The sequence below is a fragment of the Homo sapiens genome, chromosome 12, assembly GCF_000001405.40.
Source record: "Homo sapiens chromosome 12, GRCh38.p14 Primary Assembly".
NCBI lineage: Eukaryota > Metazoa > Chordata > Mammalia > Primates > Hominidae > Homo > Homo sapiens.
The window spans coordinates 29,521,391-29,542,766 of NC_000012.12; the positions used below are offsets into that span (position 1 = coordinate 29,521,391).

The 21,376-nt window shown below is 37.8% G+C and overlaps 1 protein-coding gene and 1 long non-coding RNA gene across 11 annotated transcripts in view; one reads left to right on the top strand and one right to left on the bottom strand.

Moving 5' to 3' along the window:
- Nucleotides 1-21,376, bottom strand: part of TMTC1 (transmembrane O-mannosyltransferase targeting cadherins 1) — a 283,947-nt gene that overhangs the window by 20,578 nt on the left and 241,993 nt on the right. For 8 of the 10 annotated variants that reach the window (NM_175861.3, XM_047429634.1, XM_017020005.2 and 5 more), the window contains one exon: nucleotides 14,819-14,927. In NM_175861.3, coding sequence (NP_787057.2) covers nucleotides 14,819-14,927 — 109 coding nt within the window. Of the gene's footprint in view, nucleotides 1-2,925; nucleotides 7,093-14,818; nucleotides 14,928-21,376 lie in introns of those variants that run through there. The other 2 variants (XM_047429636.1, XM_017020006.2) reach the window with 1 other exon arrangement.
- The window catches only part of LOC105369714 (uncharacterized), a 36,940-nt gene that overhangs the window by 1,660 nt on the left and 13,904 nt on the right, over nucleotides 1-21,376 (top strand). Inside the window, exons 3-5 of the long non-coding RNA XR_007063258.1 lie at nucleotides 8,479-8,628; nucleotides 8,716-8,848; nucleotides 12,053-12,137. This is a non-coding gene — a long non-coding RNA (uncharacterized LOC105369714). The remainder of the gene's footprint in view (nucleotides 1-8,478; nucleotides 8,629-8,715; nucleotides 8,849-12,052; nucleotides 12,138-21,376) is intronic.

Below are 21,376 nucleotides of genomic sequence, written 5' to 3' on the forward strand. Positions count from 1 at the left end.
TCCCCTCAAGGGTGTACCTCCAACCTGTGTGGCAAGGTTCAGGTCGATCACCACATCTCTCATTCTAGGGCTCCAATTCTAATTGCCCTTGTGTTCTCTTTGTCTAAAGATTCACTTTAGCAAACTTTAGTAATTCTGAGTTACTTTTTAGGTACATTTTTCTTTTTCTTTCTTTCTTTTTTTTTTTTTTTTTGAGACAGAGAGTCTCACTTTGTCGCCTTGGCTGGAGTGCAATGGGGCGATCTCGGCTCACTGCAACTCCTGCCTCCTGGGCTCCAGTGATCCTCCCACCTCAGCTCCCTGAGTAGCTGGGATTACAGGCATGTGCCACCATGCCCAGCTAATTTTTGTATTTTTAGTAGAGATGGGGTTTCCCCATGTTGGCCAGGCTGGTCTCAAACTCCTGGCCTCAAGTGATCCGCCCGTCTTGGCCTACCAAAGTGCTGGGATTACAGGCATGAACCACTGCACTTGGCCCTTTTAGGCATATTTTTCACAACCATTAGAGACTGTTATGTCACACTTACTTTTACTATACAGAAGGTGAAATTAATTAATCAAAGGTTCCCAGATACTAAGACTTATTTACCCACAAGTTAACAAAATGTCATCTTTTCCTAGTACAGCTGCGATGGTCATGTAAAATAAGATGATTTGGCACAAAGCACATGCCAGCTTTAAAAAATACATATATGCCCTGAGTATGGACATTTTCCAAAACCTTATCTCAAGTTACTCCTACCAAGCATTCAACCAGACACATGACAAAGGAATGTAGAGCAACAATTTCCTGAGACGTGGCACCTTAAGCTTGTGATTATGTGTTTAGATATTTACATTGAGGGCTGAACAATAAGCCAAGAAGCCCAAATCTGATTTGACCCAGAAAGGGACATATACTTTACACTCTGTAGAATGACCAATGCCATCTATTTGAGTTCCTACATTTAAGTAACATTAGGGAACAAGGTGTGGTTTGTCAAACTTCATCCACACTCCAGCAAAAATAAGGATCCATGTCTCTAAATATATGTTTTTTAATTGCCAAACTCAACAAATTATCAAATTCAAAAAATTTAAAGATGAATTAAAGTCTCAAAATATTTCCTTTCAATCTATTGAAGAGAAGCTTTCTGAAGCTCTCGTCCATTGAAGGACTGACAATGTGTGTGTGTGTGTGTGTGTGTGTGTGTGTGTAATGAAGACAGGCAGAACAGAAATTATATAACAACCTGAGAAAATTAACATCTAGAGAGTACCATAGGGTGTATATTCATGTATCCATTCATTCCACATGCATTTACTGCAATGGCTATAGAAGTATGACATAGTGGTTAAGAACGAGGCTCCCAAGATTTGACTGCGTGGATTCAAATCCAAGCCCCACCATCTACTGTCTGTGTGACCTTTCTTACCCACCATGTGCCCCAACTGTAAATCAGGGACAACAATCATACTTATCTTATAGGGTTGTTTTGAGGATTAAATCTATTAAAACATTTGAAACACTTAGAACAATGCTCAGCACATGGTCAGCACGTTGGTTTATCATGCTGGTCTTTATCCTTACTTATCCAAAATCTCATAGCTACATGGGGACAGAGAATAGAAGCTAGGTTTTCAGTGGGCCAATGGGGAATTGGGGAGCCCTGAATAAAAGCAGTATTTTTGGAAATAAACAAACATGACTGGCATAAACAGTTACACTTTTGGGTATTTGTCCATCTGTTCATCCATCCAACCTGTCCCTCCCTCCCTTTCCTTGACAAATATTTCACGAACACCATTGTTAAAAGAAAAACTTTAGACAAATTAAATGTAACAAAGTTTATTTGAGCAAGAAAGAGTTCACAGATTGGGCAACCCCCTGAACCAGAACAGGTTCAAGGAGACTTTGCCACTGCCATGTGGTCAGGGAGGATTTACAGACAGAAAAAGGAAAGCGACTTACAGAAAACAGAAGTGAGGTACAGAAATGGCTGAATTGGTTACAGCTCAGTGTTTGTCTCACTTGAACATAGTTTGAACAGCTGGCTGTCTTGATTGGCTGATTGGTAGGAGAGAAATAGGCACAAGGTGGTCTGTTTATGCATCCAGTTAGGTTACAGTTTACTAGGTACAGAGAAACTTTTAGGGCAAGCTTAAAATATGTAAGGAGGCAGTTTTAGGCTACATTTAACAATGCTCCCCTCAAAATTGAGAGGTGAACCAAAACTGTAGGCATTGATTTCACTCTACCACTATCGTAAAGGCACTTATTTGGTCTTAAGTTTTACTGGGAAATAGCAGAACAGTGAGCTTTGTAAGATGGTTTTTTTAGGTTATTTTTTTGAAAGAGAGTACAGGGGACCTCTCTGTGTTGGAATCTCTTGTTTTTTGGAGGGCAGAAAGAAAATTCGCGTCTATTTTAGGACTTACCTGTTTAGGATTTTTTTAAAAAATTTTAATTTGATTATGTCACACTTAGCATGAGTGACTCTATTTTGGTTTGGTCTGGTCTGCTGGGGCCTATTGTATGAACTCAGTCCAAAATAATGGCATCTCCTAATTTTGTTTAACAGTTTCTTCCTTTTGGTTATGATTTTACTTAGGTGAGTGTGACCATTAGGCTTTTAACGCCATTCTCAGTTACCATTATTTTAGGGTTTTGGTCTCAGTACATCATTTATTGGTTATGATGTCTTTATGAGAACACTCTTTTTTGAGTTTTTGTCATCTCAATTAAAGAGAGACCATTTGACATTTTACAAATGGCTGTATGTAACCATTGAAAACTTTTGAGGGAACATAGTGTGCCAGAGAGACAATTATAATGATCAAGAAGATCAAATCAAGAGTTTGGAGTATGCTCCTTAGTCAGCATCTCCATGAACCAAACCAACTAAAATGAAATAGATCAAAGAATGAGCCAGAAAAGGAGTCTACTTGTTTTAATCAAGCAGTCTGTTTATTAATACCCTACAACCAAATCTCTGTAATAGTCAATGCATTTATTTACATGTAACAAATAGAGTCAGTAATGGTACAGATTTTTTTCTGTTTATCCAGTAGACAATCTAGAGTAATTTTATTATCCAGCACAACCTTAGCAAGAGAATTTAAAGATGACTTTTGTGTAATCAGTCTTTGTAGTACAATCTGTTATGGAGCCTATTATGAGGGATGAATTGTAATCATTATCTCCTTTAAATTATGGGAAAAGGGGCCTAAGAATTATGTCTAGAAGAGTGTAAAGAAACTCCATGTTTAAACTTCACTAGAAGAGTGAAGGCCCCTGGCAGTGTTGTTTTAAACCTATGATGTAGGTTAAAAGGAATGAACCAATGTTCTGGTTCTGACTGATTATGGAAGAATAAAGATGCCATTAAATGTTTTTGCTCACATTGGTCCTGAATCTTTTCTACCCAGGCATAAGACTGTCAATGTATAATGCTGGCTGCAAAGTCCTCTACAAATAAAGTTATACCTCATGATGTACACAAATCTCCCTTTTTAGTTTTATTGTTTATAGAGGCATAAGCAAGGAAAAAATTAAGAGAGGTAAGAGTCTGATGATAGCAGAAAAGTCTTGATCTGTGATCTTGGGAAAGCTGTCCATGTCTAGGATGCCATTTGTTTTGGGGAGAAACTTTCCTGATTAGCTTTATCTTAAGGTTTCAAATGGGTGTATAGGTCAAAGAGTCTGGAGGGCCCTTTTCAGTTGTGAGATTATGAACCTAAGCTTTGAGGTCCCAAAGTTTTGCTGTAGTGTGGGTGGCAAGGGCAGTCTTTTTTTTTTTTTTTTTTTTTTTTTTTTTTTTTTTTTTTTTTGAGATGGAGTTTTGCTCTGTCACCCAGGCTGGAGTGCAATGGCAGGATCTCAGCTCACCGCAACCTCCGTCTCCTGGGTTCAGGCGATTCTCCTGCCTCAGCCTCCCAATTAGCTGGGATTACAGGCACCCATCACCACACCCAGTGGCTAATTTTTGTATTTTTAGTAGAGACAGGGTTTCACCATGTTGGCCAGGCTGGTCTCGAACTCCTGACCTCAGGTGATCCACCCGCCTTGGCTTCCCAAAATACTGGGATTGCAGGTGTGAGCCACTGTGCTCAGCAAAGGGCAGTCTTTTTCTGATATCATTTTCAGAATATCCAGTCTCTGGGTTTTAGACCATGAAGGGTTTGATTGTCCACAGTCACTGATCATGAAAAGCCTTTTTTTTTTTTTAAATCTAGCGAAAGTATACTTTGGCATGATGTATTAAAGCCTTGTAGCATTTAGTCATATCAGAGTTTCAGACCAGAAAGTAAATGAGGTTTTGTTATTAGGGATATGGGCCCTCTACCGACTATTTTAGAAAGGCCAACTTACGTTTTCCCCTGGAAGTGGATCTGATTATCCACTGTATCCACTGTAATACTTTTGAATAAGACAATCTAGTTGAATCAGTTACCTTTGCCTAATGCTATTGTATCTGAAATACCTTATTTGTTTTACAACTTGTCCAGTGAATCAAGTGCCTTTTATTGCTAGAGATTTTTCTAGGAATGTCCCATGAGGGAAACACACTTTCTAATAATGTTTTAGCTACTATTACAGCCATCAGATTTTTGTATGAGAAAGCTTTCATATAACCAGAAAATACGCATTAAAAATGACAGTTGAATGAAATTTCTCTATAAATGTTTAAATGGCCCATCAGGTAGCAGAAATGTACCTGAAGTTTTGATTGTCTTCCCAGGATTATGAGTTTGACCACCCAAATATTAGTCAACCATTTTAGCAATTTAGAATAGTCACCATACCAATAAATACTTTAAAAATGTAACCTGGATCAGTTTATCCCTCCTATGATGAGTGATGGCATACAGAACTTTTAACAATGAAAGCTTGAAGGACTTTGGAAGGACCAGGTGGCCATTTAGGCTCTCCATGAGTATATGCTTAATACTGAATTTAGATCCTCTCAAAAACCAATTTTGTTTTTCAATTCAGATGTATAGCACTGTTTATTAGGTGGGCCATCATAGGTAATTTGAATTGGACCATAGAAGTTTATTTAAATTGTATACTTAAAACATTTTAGTGAGAGCTGATTTAGCATGAAAATCTGGCAAAGTGTTTTCTTGGTATTCAATTAATTCTTGTCTTGCTTGGGTTAGAAGTTTTATAACCCAGTCAGTCTCTTCATTAGAGTTTTGGGAATTCTTAATCCAAATAATGTGATCTTTAAGTTATCAGAAACCTGTTTTCAAGAGTGCTTGTCAGGGTTCTTTTCATCCTTTCTGTGAACCTCCTTGAAGATACGCCATTCTAGGATTTTACTTCTTTATCAAGAGCTTTTAGAAAATGTATCATAATTAAGCAATTAACTATGGAAAAGTTAACTATGGTCATGGTTAAAGATGTAATTGACAAAAAAGTTGTTTTTTTTCTCCTGTGGCCTATAATAATTTAATATAATAACCATAATTATGATGGATAACATACCAAGACATATCAGAATTTTAGGAATCTCATAATTTTGGAACATATATTAATAATGTATTCATAAAAACATAACTCAAGGCTAAACATTACTTATTTGACAATGCTTCTCATAGTTTAACATGTCAAATAAGTCTATAAACTCTCTTTTGGATGCTGCAGAAGGCCTCTGCAGAGTGTCTCAAGTTAGTTGAGGTCAAAAAGACTTCATTTCCAACTTGAAATTTGATTTAAGGAAAGAAGCCTGTCAAATATGTCAAAGGTTTAAAACATTTAATTAAAATATGATCACAGGTCACTGTAGAATAATAGTAATTCATTTAGCCAAAATGGTAATTAAAAGGTTTTAAAAAGCATTTATTCCTTGAGGGAGAAGAGGCTCTGTTTTTCAATCAAAAGATCTGAGAAAGACAACATGAGACAGAAGCTGTGTCAAGTTAAACTTAACACCATGCATGTGCCATGCATGTATACAGTGAAACAGAACAGTGAGTGAGAGACACAATCCCTACCTTCACCACTGAGTGGAATTCAGACAAGAAGGAGGCAATAATGTAGCTGTGGGAGGAGAAGCACAAGGTATGTGGGGGGCAGCCAAGAGTGGCATCCACACCTGGGGATAGATACTGTACACCTGTCATGATCCAAATGCCCAAGGGCATTGGTCACTATTTACTTCAGTGGCTGTGTAACACAGATGTGCTTGAAAACTATCTGTGGCTACGTGAGATCTGAAAAACATCTTTATAACCAAGCTAGTTAAGTTAGAAGGTGTTTTTCCTGAAAGGAACACAATTGATGTCCTCACAGTCTCAGCTTCTGAAGTCAATTACACCACTATTAACCACAGTTTTTAAGAGCAATTACTGCTTTACTGGATCTAATATTACTTTTTTTCCCACTTTCTTGCTCCTCCAAAATAGGCAAAGAGATTATCTTTTTCATCTAAATCTTCTCTTTTATTTTTGCATCCATTAGCTGAGCTGATTTTCCACTAGAAATGATATTTTCAAAATCCAAAGAAATAGTGAGATCTAAAGACTGAGTGTGTCAAGGGCAATGAATCACAGCCCTACACCTTCAGTAACCCCAATGGCAGTTTCAAGGCTCTATGAAAAGGTCTTTAAGATCTGTCTTTCTATTCATTTCACTTGATTGTCAATTTCATGGAATGATCAACTCTACTCATAAACAAAAAACAAAACACTTCTCCAGGAAGAAAATACTGTATGGGTGTTTAAAGTAAATTCCGCCTTCTCTGGAAGGGTAATGCATTTATCTTAAATAACACTATTATTTAATCTCTGAAGCTCAATTTCGAGCACTCATTTTCATTTAATTCAACTGGCTACAAGTCCTGACCTAAGCCTGATCATTTCTAGTCTCTACTGACTTGTAAGTTCCAGAGGAAATGAATGTAAGCTATTTATAGGACAACTTTAATTAAAAATATTTGTGACCCAGGGAATGGTTGTGACATATTAATACCGTCTGCTGTACACCAGAGTCCCCAGCCATCCTGCGAAATTGGCCTTCGAGGGCAGCAGTTAAAAATGGGCAGCATGCAGCCATGGGCTCCTCTCCAAGACTTAAAGCATTTTCAGTGGTGTGGAAATAAAATGGGCCTTGGAAGAGAGATAAAACACAGTCAACATCCCCACTTTTTATATGCTATAATTACCCAATATAGCACACTTTTTACCTCAAGGAAGGAAAAGTGAAAAATAGATGTCCTGAAAAAGGACCCTTGACTGTAATTTACTGTCTTGAGCCAAATCGTGTGTTTGGAAAACTTTATAGTTCAGGTTCCAATAACTCAAATGACAAATGGACATTGGCTTAATGCAGAAATTCTCAACCTTCTTAATTTTAGAATGCCTTTGAACTCTAAAAGTTACTGAGAATTCCAAAGAACTTTCCATTTATGTGGACTATATATATCAATATTTACTACATTGGAAAAGAAGCTGAGAAACTTTAAAAATATGTGCTAGTTTACTTAATCATAAACTTAAACATAAATAATATATTTATATAAAAATAATTATTTTCAAAGCAAAAAAAATAGCGAGAATAGTGGCATTAGTTTATATTTTTGTAAATCTCTTTAATGTCTGACTTCAGACAGCTGGATTCTCATACCTGCTTCTGTCGGTTCAATCTGTTTTATGTACATATATTTGGTTGGAATATATAAAGAAAATCTGGCCTCACACGCACATTTAGTCGGCAAAGGAGACAGTATTTTAATAGCATTTTCATAACTGTGGATATATCATGTGGCTGCTAGAAAACTACTGTATACTGATGAGATAATGACAGGGAAAAGGCAAATTACTTCTTAGTACTATTAGGAAAGTGCATAAACCTTCATGGACCCTGGGGGTCTCCAGTCAACAATTAGCAAACAGATTAACAGATGGCCTGTAACAATGTGTACCTACTGTATAGAGGTGTAGAGTGTGGTATTCCAAAGCAGTAAAGGGCCAATAGAAAAAAAAATGTTTCCAGTGCCCTGACATCGGGGTCACTATGTGTCTGAGCTGATTTTCTAGAAGTGCTTTCACTCTAATCAATAATTTAAAGCCACAGAGTCTTAAAGTATATTCCTATTAGCCAAATGGCTTTATTAGTAAATAGTAATACATTGTAATATTGTAATAGTAATTACAAAAGTAATATTGTAATAGTAATTACAAACCTGGGAAATTAAGGACTAACAGATCTTTAAACTCATGTCAACGACTTCTCCAAGAAACTATTCAAGACACAGCAGCCCAAAAGATAAAGACACCTGTTTTCTCACCCTCTTCTTTGCTTTTGTTTTCTTTACGAGACAGTTCCTCCACCCATATGTCATCAGTATGAGCATTTATGAGAAACATGCTATCAATATTTGATGTCTAATTCTCTTTCATATCCAACTAAAATGAATCAATTAATCTGGCATTCTTCCCCACCAAGGAAATACAAGGTGTTTCCTAATCCTAGATTTTCTCATCTACCAGCAGAATGTGATCAACACTACTCTGACAATTTACACAAACAAGAAGTGACCACTTTAAAGATGGAATGCCAAGAACAATACAATAAATGCTAAAGAGAAAGAGTGACAAAAGTGAGCAACTACAGATAATGCAGTCATGGAACCAGAAAAAGAGGTGAAAACCACATTTGCATATAATTGCAGCTTCCTGATACTTTAGACTTTTCTCATGCCATTTTGCCTTCATTCTCTATACTTCCAGGTACATGACTTTCTTTCTACTTGAGAAATAGAAATAAAATCCTAAGTCCCCAATCTGACTCAACACACCCCCTCCTGGCCAAGGAGACCCCAGGGAAACCTTAAAAACTCAATTCCCAGCTATGACCAGAGAGGTAAGGTCACTCAATCATTATACCCACTCCTTTGCCACCATTAGACTCTCTTTCCTAAGAGTTGAACAGAAACTAGCACTTTTGAAAGACTTGCTCCACTGCTGATTTCAACCAACCACCTCATTCTGCAGCAGAGCTCCCTTCCCCTTTTATGGTCTCAACGCAACTGACCAGCATTTCTTCCTGGAAAGAAACCATGGACTGTGGACTGCTTCTAGCTGGTCCATGGAGACTGTGCATAGGGTGCCTCTGCATTTAAACGTTGTGTCTCCACCTCAAAGTGCACATGGGATGTATGTAACATGCATGTTTGCTTACTACGCATGTGCAACCCCTTCATAAATATTCACAGTTCCTCCTCTAATCTGTTGAACATGTATACTTAGGCAACCCGTTCAGCATAAATTCCTGTCTTGCCCTTCCTCCTTCAAAGCACCTGCTTTTGCTTTCTGCGGGAGGCTATGCTTCCCAGCCTGCAAGTGGCCAGCCTGCAGGCTACAACCCATTATAAGAAGTAAAGCTCTCCTTTCCAAATTTGTAGATCTCATGATTTTAAGTTGACATATTAGAAGTAAGCTCAATACATATTAGAAGTAAGCTCACCTCAGAGCCCTTAGAGGGTCTATTCCTTCTGACTAGAAAGCTTTTCCTTTCACTTTTACCCAGTTTATATCTATCGGTCCTTTAGATATCAGATTAAAGGTAACCCTTTGGCAACCATCCCCACTACCCATATATTCCTCTCCCACATTAGGTTAGGTCCCCTTAACATGTTCACTGGTGCTTTCCCTTTGCACAGTTGTTACGCTTGTGTTAGACATTGGGGAGGGAGCTATAAATCTTTGCCTAGGGGTAGCCTTCCCTTCTATACTACACTCCATGAGGGTAACCACATACATAACTTGCTGCTTCAACACTCTGGCGCTTGGTGGCATCTAGATGCTCAATAAATATGTGCTCAGTAATTAAATCAATAAATTCTTAAGTTAGGGTCTTCGTCCAAGTTGACTTAGCCCCACACAGTGTGGCTGAATGTACCTCAAATATAGCATTTGTAGGAGAGAACCTACCTGACCCAGGACTTTTTATTTGACCCAGAGTTCCAATTTATGTTTTATTGTTCCAATTTTCTTTTTGCTCTTGCATTGGGTAAAGTCATATTTCAAAGCACATGAAGGAAAAATATTTTATTTTAAGTGTTATCATTTTAATTAATTGTTTTTCAATAGGCTATCAACGTGGGGCTAGTAATAATTTACAGTGGCCAGAGTCATAAACAATGTTAATTTTATTTCCTTTACTGCTACTGCAATGCAAAGCTATATAATCCATGCAAGAGTAGGATGGTTAAAAATGATTGTGGGCTTATAAATATTTACTACCCTATCTGTGAAGCTGGAGTCCAGCCAGTTCTGAATGCTGATGGAGAACAAAGAGTATAGCAAGTCAGAGACCACCCTGACTTCAAAGCTAAGAGTTTATCTTCTGTTCTCAGTTTTCTTGACTTCTTTGATGCAGTAGACACAGAGTGGTATCAACTTTCTTCTGGACATTTTTATGTGCCTAGCTTCTATGACAACTCATCCTTCTGGGTTTCTTTTATCTCTTCTTCCTTTCCACTCCATTCCATGCCTAACCTCATTAACTATGGCCCATGATCACAGTCTATTCATGGGGTCCCAGTGTCATCTAATGCAAGAGTGGCAGGTGAGGAGCTTGGAGACCAGGTTTTAGTCAAGGTCCTGCTGCAAGTTAGTGAATCACCATGAGCGGCCACTTAATTCTGTGTACCATATATTTTTATGTAAAATGAGAAGGTTAAAAAAATTCTTCAGGGCTTTTTCCTACACTATTCTTCATTTTCTCCTCGAGGAAATTATCTGCTTATAATATGATTTCATTTTTTTAAAGTCCTAGGTCTATTTTTCTAGCCCTGATCTCTTTCTCTGTCATTGGTCCATATGCCATTTTCATTGAAATGTTCCACTAACATTCAAAACTTAAAGGTTGTACACTGCTGGTGGCAGAGTAAATTGGAACTGCCCTTTCGGAAAGCAATTTGGTAACACGTCTCAAGACTCATGAAATATATTCTTTGATATGGAAATTATTCTGGAATTTATCATTAGGAAATGATTCAAAATATTGTTTTAAAAAAGCCCTAAGAAAAAAAAGCTCAATGCCACAAAAGAAAATAAAAAGGAATCCAAATGTCCCAGCATTTGAAATATTATTAACCATATATTACAGCAAATCATTTTGATAAATCAGTAAGCAGCCATTTAAGTGGTATTTATGAAGGTCATTTAGCACCATGAAAAAACAAAATAGTATGTATAATTTAATGGCAAGTGAAAAAAACAGGATACAAACAGTGTATAAATATTAGTATGGAACACATAAATATATTTAAAAGAGATGCATATTAAAGAATGATAATATTTGTTGTCTCCAGGTATTATATTATGAATAAAGGATGTATACGTTATTTTCTCTGAGTTTTCACAGTTTCCTTTATATATTTATATTACTTGTTTAACTGGAAACAATGTTGACACTCATCTTATTTCTTTCCTAAAATATTGCTTCTGTCTGGCTTATCCACGTCTATCAGTGGCCATAAATCTTCTCATTTTCTTAGGGGTTCTGACCTGGAGTTCTTAATTTTCTATTTTTCTTTTCCATTCAACCTTTACATGCTGACAGTCCCTATGTACCATGGAAATCTTTCTTTTTCCACGATATTCTATCCATTCCCTCACTTTCTTCTGCAAACAAGGCTCTCAACTACTCACACCAGAATGCATAGAAAAGCCTTTTCCAAAATACACCATGTGTTTTCCACAAGGTTTTCTTCCTCACATGTTTTAGAAAGCTCTCCTCAGATATTTACCGTTACTTCCTATTATCTATCAATGTAAAACTTGGGCTCCATTATGGCCTTAATATGTTCTACCATATAATGTCTTTTCAACTCATTAATCTATTTTTCAAATTTGTCAAATCCCCTACTTTGCGCGAACAGATTAAATTTCTCCCCTCAGGTTACAACAGAGTAAGGAACACAATATTAGTTTCCGACAAATCCTACATTCATGGTTTTATTGGCACTGAGGATGGGAAATGATGTCAACAGACAGCAGCATGCTTATAATAAGAGCAAGGTATACCAAATAAACCTAGTTTCCTTTTTTGATATTATAGATTTGCAGCCTTACATCAGGGGAAGGATTTTGGCAGGTGTCTGAAAATGTGTCTCGAAACATCTCTGTAGACAAGACTGAGAAAGGTGAGCTAGAGGATAATATAATTCAACAAATTAACGAATGCTTGAATAAGTTTACCCAAAGAGTCTGGCATAAGATAAAGGTCAACCTGGAAAGAAGGTTCTACAGATATGCTGCAGGGCTTCCTAACTAATACTGATCTTCACAACATTTTTTAAAATCGAAAACACAAACTAGTTATTTAACTAAAACTATTATCAAGTTTGCCAACTGAAAGAGCTGGAAATGGTAGTCAATACACTGTACGGCAGGAAAAAAACTAAAAAGTCCTAGAAAATCAGAAATGTCAGGCTGATATAAATACAGAATATGTCAGGCTGATGTAAATACAGAATGAATCCTTTCATCCAGCTTCTGAAAAACTGCCTGCAAAATGGCTGATTTCAGCTGAGTGTAGGAAAGAGCTTTTTGGCATGACACTGACCCACAACCACAGTCCGCGTGGGCTGTGCATGTGGACGGATGGTGGCAATGGAGGACAAGTCGCTTGACTAAGGGGATGGCTTCACTGTGTGTTACATGTTGCCCAAGGTTTGTCAATACTGATTTCATACACTCTGGGTGTTTGAAATGCCAGGATGCTGTTAAATAAAGTTGTGCAACCAAGAAATGAATTCATTTGCTACCAAAAAATGTTAAGCTAGGTGGGTTTTTCTCTAACAGTTTGTGTCTTGCTTGCACATCTGATGCACTCTTTTATGACTAAATAGTTAAAAACATGAAGATAGGATGTTGAAAGTCAGAGAGGGGAAGGCAGTCCTGAGTTATGCTCAACAGCTGCTTCATTGTTTTCATGCCCAAAGGGGCAGAAGAAAGAACTTTTCAATCTTTCAGTTCCATTCTTATATCTCACATCATTTTACATTCACATCTAGAACAGAAAAGTGCTAAAAGATGGGACCTTTGTGTGTAAGAAAAGATAATGATCCTAGTCATCATTTGTTGTTCTTAACAATTGTTCACAACTTCAACTATGTAAAATGCAATAACTTGATAGCAATTTGCCACTGCAGTTCACAAAAGATTAAATTTATCAAGTAATCAATTTTAAATAAGCCATCTGACACTTCTTACACACAAGTAAGGAAAAAGTATATACGTTATCCTGTTTAAACTTCCATCTGCTACAAAATTTGTTAATAGTAAGGCTGAATGCAAAGATACTACAGAAGGAACTAAAATAAAGTTCAACATCATTAAAATCTTGATCATTTTTAAAATGAGCTTAGATGAATAAAACACATAGCTGTTCTCATAGAGTCAAATATTCTAACGGTGGCAGAAAGTCCATAAACAAATAAATGTGTTTTAGATGGTGATAAATACTATAGGGAAAGTAAGGCAGGACATGGTAGTAGAGAACATGATGGGCTGCGGAAGGTTCCTATTTACAAAGGGTCATCTCAGAAGACCTCTCTGATATAGTAACATTTGGTCAGAAACCAGCATGATATGAAATATCTTGGAAACTCTAAGATAACTATCTGGAAGAGAAGTGCTGCAGGAACAGTTAGTGCAAAGGCTGTGAGAGAGAAGCACACTTAGCACATCTGAGTAACTGCAAAACAACCAGCCTGTCAGAGGCAGGGGGAGGGGCTTATGAAAAGGAAGGGTCCAGGGTGAGGTGAGATGAAGCAACACTGATGAAGCCAGCCTCTGTGTCTGTTTCAACACAAGCCAAGGGCAGCTGAGGACTGCCAGTGTATAGCACAGACACATCCATCACCATTTTAGCTCACACTTTATACTAAAGCATGCGTTAAAATCATCCAACACAGACAGAGGTTTTTAATCTAAAGCCCGCCTATCCTACAGGGAGAAAGGGCAAAACAACTAGGTTTATATTCTTTGTCACTTAAATATTCATAGAATGACCTAATTTTGCTTCTTGCTGGAGCCTCCAAAAATTTCTGATGCAAATCGCTCCCTACAAAACTGACATACAGTATCAAATCACTTATTACCCTTAAGCCAACTGAATGCTGCCGGGCATGTTGCAGAGATGTTGAGTTTGAGTTTTAAAGATAATCTGGTAATTTTATGGTAGCAGAATCTACTGTCTATCAAGGGCACTATGTGTGTCAACAAAACTATATCATCAATTTAGAGAGAAGACAACTTATATCTGTTTCTCCATAGCAGGGGTCATGCATCTAAGACTCTGAAAACTGGTATCAAATCATTTAGACACGACTGAAAAGAAGGAGGGGATTGAAAACTCATCTCTGTTTTATGCCATAAAAACTATTCTCTTAGGAGCCTCTCTCACGAGCCTCTGTAATATTCTAACAGATGTTAAAACAGAATTTGTAGGATTATCAAATTGCTCCATGTTGAGTTCAGCGATCTTAGACCACTTGCAATTCCTCAGAAAAATATTACAAGTAAGTGGTAATAAAAACATCAAATATCATGTATTGTTCTTGATAGATTCTGTACCAAAGTGAGAGAGAATATATCAATGGCCAATAACGGACCATCTTTGTCTAAAAGCGACCTGTGATACACAGAGAATATTGGAGTGAGAAAATTAGGCTTGTAATTTCTGTCCAAAAGAAACTGACATAGAGATTGGTTGTCCAATATGGGTTTACAAATTAAATCATTAGTACAAAAATCTGTGTAACATTAATTTATACATGTAACAATAACATTGAAAAAAACTACTGTGTGAAACAATTACCTGCTCAGCCAATAACGAAGCTAAGCTTGAATATGCATCTGCAAACTCTGGACCATATTTGATGGAATCCTTCAGTAAGGTGATAGCTTCTTCCTTTTTCTCCTGGGACCTATAGATAATAATGAAGGGGTGGGGGAGAACATCTTTTAATAACACTTTGTTTCAATCCTCTGATTAGACTCTAAAAATCTCATTTCTTTTAGCAAAGGTTAGCTGATTCACTCTGGATTTATTGCAAATGAATTAAACTACATTGTCTCAAGGTGCTAACAGTTTCTTTCTGTCTCTGAATTCTCCATGGAAAGAGATGTAAAGATGTAAATTACGCTTCAGGTTATCCACTTTTTTCTACCTTCTGTTTTCTGCTGTGCACTCTTCGAGAGTTATATTCAATATTTTGCAGGTCTGTTAATGAGAAACTTTGATCTTCAGAGGAACAATTTGGGGGAAATTGGGTGGCATGAGAGCCAATTTACAATGATGTGAAGATATTTGGGTCCCTGTAGTACTGGTCACACCACTGCAGGCTGAGCTCCTAGGGTGGCTGTACCTTCCAGGAACAAACCAGGCCAAACTGCTTAATCTTTGGTTTTATATTTAAGAGAGAAAATATTCCATAAATAATTTATGAAATTAGAGACTACTGTGACCACTGGCTGGTAAAGAATAATGAGACATTTTATCATCATATTTTTACTGAAAATTGAGGCTAATTCTGTCTTCTTCATTTGGTTCTTCCCCCAGTGATGACACTTCCTTTTAAAGAGGACTCAAGGCCCAAAAGTCATTACCATTTTCTTGGGTAAAAGTTCTCTTTCCTGTTAAATCCAATGAGGAGACATTGGGTCATTATGCTGATATCAATATCTTTGGGGCCAAAAATGTACAGTATTGGAAGTGATCAAGTTTGCTATTAATACAATTCCACAGACACTAGTCTCTTGTTAAGTGCTAGACATTGTAATTGTGCAATGAAAAAGAGAATCCTTTGCACTATACCAAGGACACAGCCTAAAGGTCCCCTCCTCTTTAACAGTTACCAATATAGAGTTGCGTGCTTGTGTTTTTACTATGCACTGATTTAGCAATGACTATGTGCCATATACCCTCATATCTTTCACATAACATTATTAATGTATTTCTCACAACAATCACATATGGTAGATATTATTGTTCTATTATTATACTCATTTTTCTAATGAGAAATTTTCAATTCAGGGAAGTCAAGTGACTCATCCATGTTTATATAAACAGTCTTCGGAGTGCTCTTCCATCATACCATATCTGCTGATTCTAACTTCTTAGGAATCCACCCCTAATGACCTTTCTGCTCAAAGTGTGATTCATAGACCTGTTTCAGCAACATCACCTTGGAGCCTGTGAGAAATGCACAATATCTCAGGCCCCATCCAGACCTACTGAATCTGATCCTTCAGTTTCAAAAGATTCCCAGGTGATCTGTATGCATGCTGCGATTTCAGCAGAACTGTCCCATGAGGTATCAAAGGCAGGTGACCGTAGCTCCTGATACAATCCCCTCCATCTCCCACGCCCCGGCCCTACAGCTCCAGTTTCTGAGGATGAAGTGACATAGAGGGAAAACTAATATTCACTCCATAAGTTTGAGTTCTTAAGTGTTAGAAGCAGCTTGTTACATAAGGCAATTTCAACTATCATAGACCTTGGGGAAAAAACCGCCATGCTTCCAACATAGACCTTGGATTTAACAATTCAATGAAGCAAATATTTATCATTATCGATTATATGTCAAGCACTTAGCTGTTTCTCAGGAGAGGTGGTGGTCTGCACTATCCTCTTCTTATTAGGGTCTATCTAACTCCTAATGGGCTCTTGTTCATGCAAAGTCCCATCCTTGAGAACAGGTATAACACCCATGTCCTTAAGTGGATTGTCCTTGGGATGGCTTTCAAGTTGCATGGTTATAATTAATTTGTATTACAGCTCGCTTAGTGCTTTATTATTGATTCACTCATTTCGTGGACATTTAAAGAGTACCCACAAGACTCCATGACTTCCATACACACACTACGTTTACATACACTCAAGTTTCTATTCTATAATATACCTTCATGTAATTCTTCCATTGGCACATGTTTTTTAAATGAAATGTATTTTTGTATCCCACTAATTTGGCTATTATCTTATGGTCAGCAGAACTCTTCCTCCAAAAATGCATAAATCTTTAATAACATTAATTTGGAAATCCTCTCAAAGTCCAAAGGAAGGTATGGACTTTGAAAATTAAGGCTGAAAATTAAGTCCCTTGGGATATAATTTAGCTTAGATATTCTTCAAATCAGGAGAGAAAAAAAAACCCATAACATCTTCATAGCAATGACTTAATGGTTTTCTTTTGTCGTGGCTCATATCAGTTAGAATGGAAACTTAGACCTTTTACATGTGAGCTTAGCAAGATGACCATTCAGTACAGTCTATGAACCTAAATGCTTGAGTTTGTCCATGAACATTCATGTGACACGATGGAAAGATTATCATCAAAATTATATACCAAGAACCCAGATTCTTGATAAAAAACATCATCTCCAAAAATCCTGTGAGAGACTAACAGACTTTAAGAAAAACACCTCATCATGTAATTAATTTAGTATATGAGTATTACAAGATGCAAAGACTCTGGCAGAGAAGACATTTCTTTTTGGCTGTGTACTCCTGGAGGATTCTCCTTTTGCTTGGGAGCCGCTGAGTGTCATTAAGCACCAACAGGTCAGGCTAACAGACATCACATGCCACCTTGAGAGAGATTTTTAAATTCTTCTTAAAGAAAGCCCAATAAGTTGATAAGTGGTGATTTGTTATTGTTTCTAAAAGGGAGAGGAATGAAGAGAATATTTCTTCTATAGTCTCTCTTGCTCACCCCTTGGTGGGAGCTTATGAAATAGGTGTGGCTTTGACACAATAACTTAGAGAAGATAATTCATCTAAATAAAACCTTTCTTGGTTATATAGTAATATGATTATTATGTGAGATTGAAACTTAATTTCAAACTGTTTCTGATGTTAGTAGCATCCCTTTTTCATATCTGTATTATAGCACGTTTCTCTGATAATTATCCCATATTAAAAATCAGTCCTACAATACTATTGGATTATTGCAGTCTTACTCAGCACTTACTCAGTTTCGCTTGCTAATGCCTTGGTTCACACATCTGATTTTAGTTCCCTCATTCTTCTCCTTTTATTACGTGCCGACAACGGGAAGAACTTTTTCTAGACCTCTGCTTTCATATATAAAAATCTTTATTAATGTCCAACTACCTACAGATAGACTCTTAGGCTAAAACCCTCTACAATATGGTTCTGACTAGCATTCCAAACATACCCAGGTACCCGCTACTCCAGCGAAACTGGGTGGCCTTTGGCATCTATTCTGCAGAACCTAACAATGACCTACTCCATTGATTATCTTCACTGTACCTTACAAATCACTGCGTGTGCTTTAAAAAAGACTTTAGTGCTCTGAGGCTTGGCCTCTTAGTAGGATGCCCTCCGTATGAATATGACAATCACCCAGATTTGAGAATCATGGATAGACTCCAACCTCAATTTACAGTACTAGAGACTGAGATTCAGAGTGCTTTCATGATTTGCCCTGCTCCTAAGCAAAAACAAGGGACTAGCCCTAGGTCTTCCGCCTCTCAGCCTGGTGTTCTTCCCACACCACTTCACAGATGGCTCTTCTCTCCTTCCTATTCAACTCTGGTTCCCAGAGACACCTTCCCTGACTTGCCCAGCTCAAAGCTCCTAAAAACACTTAAGAAAACGAAGAACATATGTATACATATGTATCACCTTTCTGATATTTCAGTTTTTTTTTCTATCATCATAGGAAAAATATGGTAGGAAAATGCTACCTAGAAGCCCCATTCTGACATCTATATTTTTCTTCTCTGAGATCCTAGTGAAGCACGTGTGGGGAACCTACTGCTGCCTCTTGCGAGGGGGGATCCAGGTCCATCTAACAGTGAATGTGCCATGCAGACAAGTTTTTTAAGCTGCATATTTCACAATAGTTGTTTCCTAAACATTTACTCTCTGCCAAGGACCATGCTAAGTAATTTACTCTAATTCTCATTCAGCATTATAAATTTGGCATAATTATCTCCCTTTCAAAGATTTAGACAAAAATACTGACCACCATCATCCCAAATGAATAGAAAACTAAGGTTTAGAGAGCTCAAGTGATTTGTCCCCAGTCACACAGCTTCGATAACACCTGGACTCTAATTTAGAACTTCAAATCTAGACCGTTCCATTGAGGCCACACTTGGCATTTCTGTGTTCACTCGCTGAAATGTTATACAATTTATCTGTGACCACCAGGTTTTAAGTTCCTTCACAGGTGGGACCTACATCTTACTAATGTTACTTTTTTTTCCCCAATTCAGAAAAGTGACTTGCACAGAGTAGAAATTCAATAATTGCTGCATTCGTTTAAAAAAAAAAAATCACCGTAGTTTTGGCCAGGCATCGTGGCTCACGCCTGTATGTAATCCCAGCACTTTCGGAGGCCGAGGCAGGTGGATCATGAGGTCAGAGGAGTTCGAGACCAGCCTGGCCAAGATAGTGAAACCCTGTCTCTACTAAAAATACAAAAATTAGCCAGGCACAGTGGCGGGCGCCTGTAGTCCCAGCTACTTGGGAGGCTGAGGCAGGAGAATGGCGTGAACCTGGGAGGCGGAGCTTGCAGTGAGCCGAGATCACGCCACTGCACTCCAGCCTGGGCGACAGAGTGAGACTCTGTCTCAAAAAAAAATAAAAACAAACAAACAAACAAAAAGCCATAGTTTTACTCTTTATTTCTAGATCTTTGTAAATCTCCTTAAATGTTTTCCAATATTTGAATAAAATTTGACAAAAGGTGACAATATGATTCCCCCATGTTACATTTTGTTTCTACAGTTCTTTAAGTATTATAGACGTGATCCTAAGGAAGACAGAAGCAGCCCAAGCCTAACTTAGAATCATAAGAAAATCACAGGCACCGCATCCACGTTTTGAAAATCTGTTCCTTACCAAGCACACTGCTAAGCCGCCTATCCACCTTACCACTATATGGTAGTTAAAAGCACAGACTTAAAAACCAGAAGGACTGGCGTCTCACTCTACATCTACCACTTACTAGCTGTGTTTCCTTAGGCAAATTATCTGACCCCCATGCATCTCAGGCACTTGGTAGGTACTGTCTATGTTTTGGCTTTTATTATTAACTCATTTAATGTTTCTAAAAATCACCCATTGAAACCTATTCTTTTCTTAATTTTTAAAACCAAGGAGAATGTGCCATTTTTGATATAGTCTCTCCTAAATAATATCCTTCCACATTTCAAACCATTCATAAAAAGCTTGGGTTACACATCAGAGAAATTTTTCTTTGTTTCTGATACCACAATAGTTTTTCACTGTTGCTTTTTTTTTTTTTTTTTTTTGAGACAGAGTCTTGCTCTGTCGCCCAGGCTGGAGTGCAGTGGAGCAATCTCAGCTCACTGCAACCTCCGCCTCCCAGGTTCAAGCAATTCTCCTGCCTCAGTCACCCAAGTAGCTGGGATTACAGGCACACACCACCACGCCCAGCTAACTTTTGTATTTTTAGGAGAGACGGTGTTTCACCATGTTGGCCAGGATGATCTCAATCTCTTGACCTCGTGATCCGCCTGCCTCGGCCTCCCAAAGTACTGGGATTACAGGCATGAGCCACCTCACCTGGCCCCACAATAGATTTTTAATCTAATAATTATCATACCTAAATTCATAGCATTGTATTAATTTAGCCATTTAGACCGAATTGACAAGTCAATTTCAAAGGGGAAAAATATTAAAATAACTTTTCTTCTCTGAACTGACCAAGTCCATGGGTCATTTCTCTGAGTTATATTGAAAGGCCAGAGTTAACTAGCCCATAATTGGTGAAAAATAGATAAAATCGAACATCAGTATATATCCTGTCCAATCAGGCACAGACACACTTTGATTTTGGAGTCACAGAAAACTCTGAATCCCTTTAAGAACTCATGTGATACTAAAGACACCAAGAACAACAAGGACTCTCAGAGCTTCTGGTAGAGGGTTCAACCGGCACTGATGGAACTCTTGGGGATCCCTGCATAGGTAAAAAGTGCAGGTAAGCGTAAAACTGCTCCAGAATTTGGCAATATTATTGCCCTGCAGCATCTGGAATTTCCTTAACTGCTAAACAGCATCACCAGCTGACGACTGATAATAATCCTCCGTGATCTAAAATATTTTGTCTTTACTTCTCTCTTAAATCAACACTTCTGAAATTCTGGTGCGTAAAACTCTCCAGGTGTTTGGTAAAGTGCAGAATGCCAGGACTGATAAGATTCAGCAGGTCTTGGTGGGGCCCAGGAATCATTAGGATTCTAAGCCTCTCAGGTGATTCTGCTTAGCATGGATCAATTGATCCTGCAGAGGAGGCTAAATATAATAGGATGCTGAAAGCTAAAAAGACAGGATAAAGAAGACTTCCCTGGGACAATCTGACCAAAAGAGAAAGGTGGC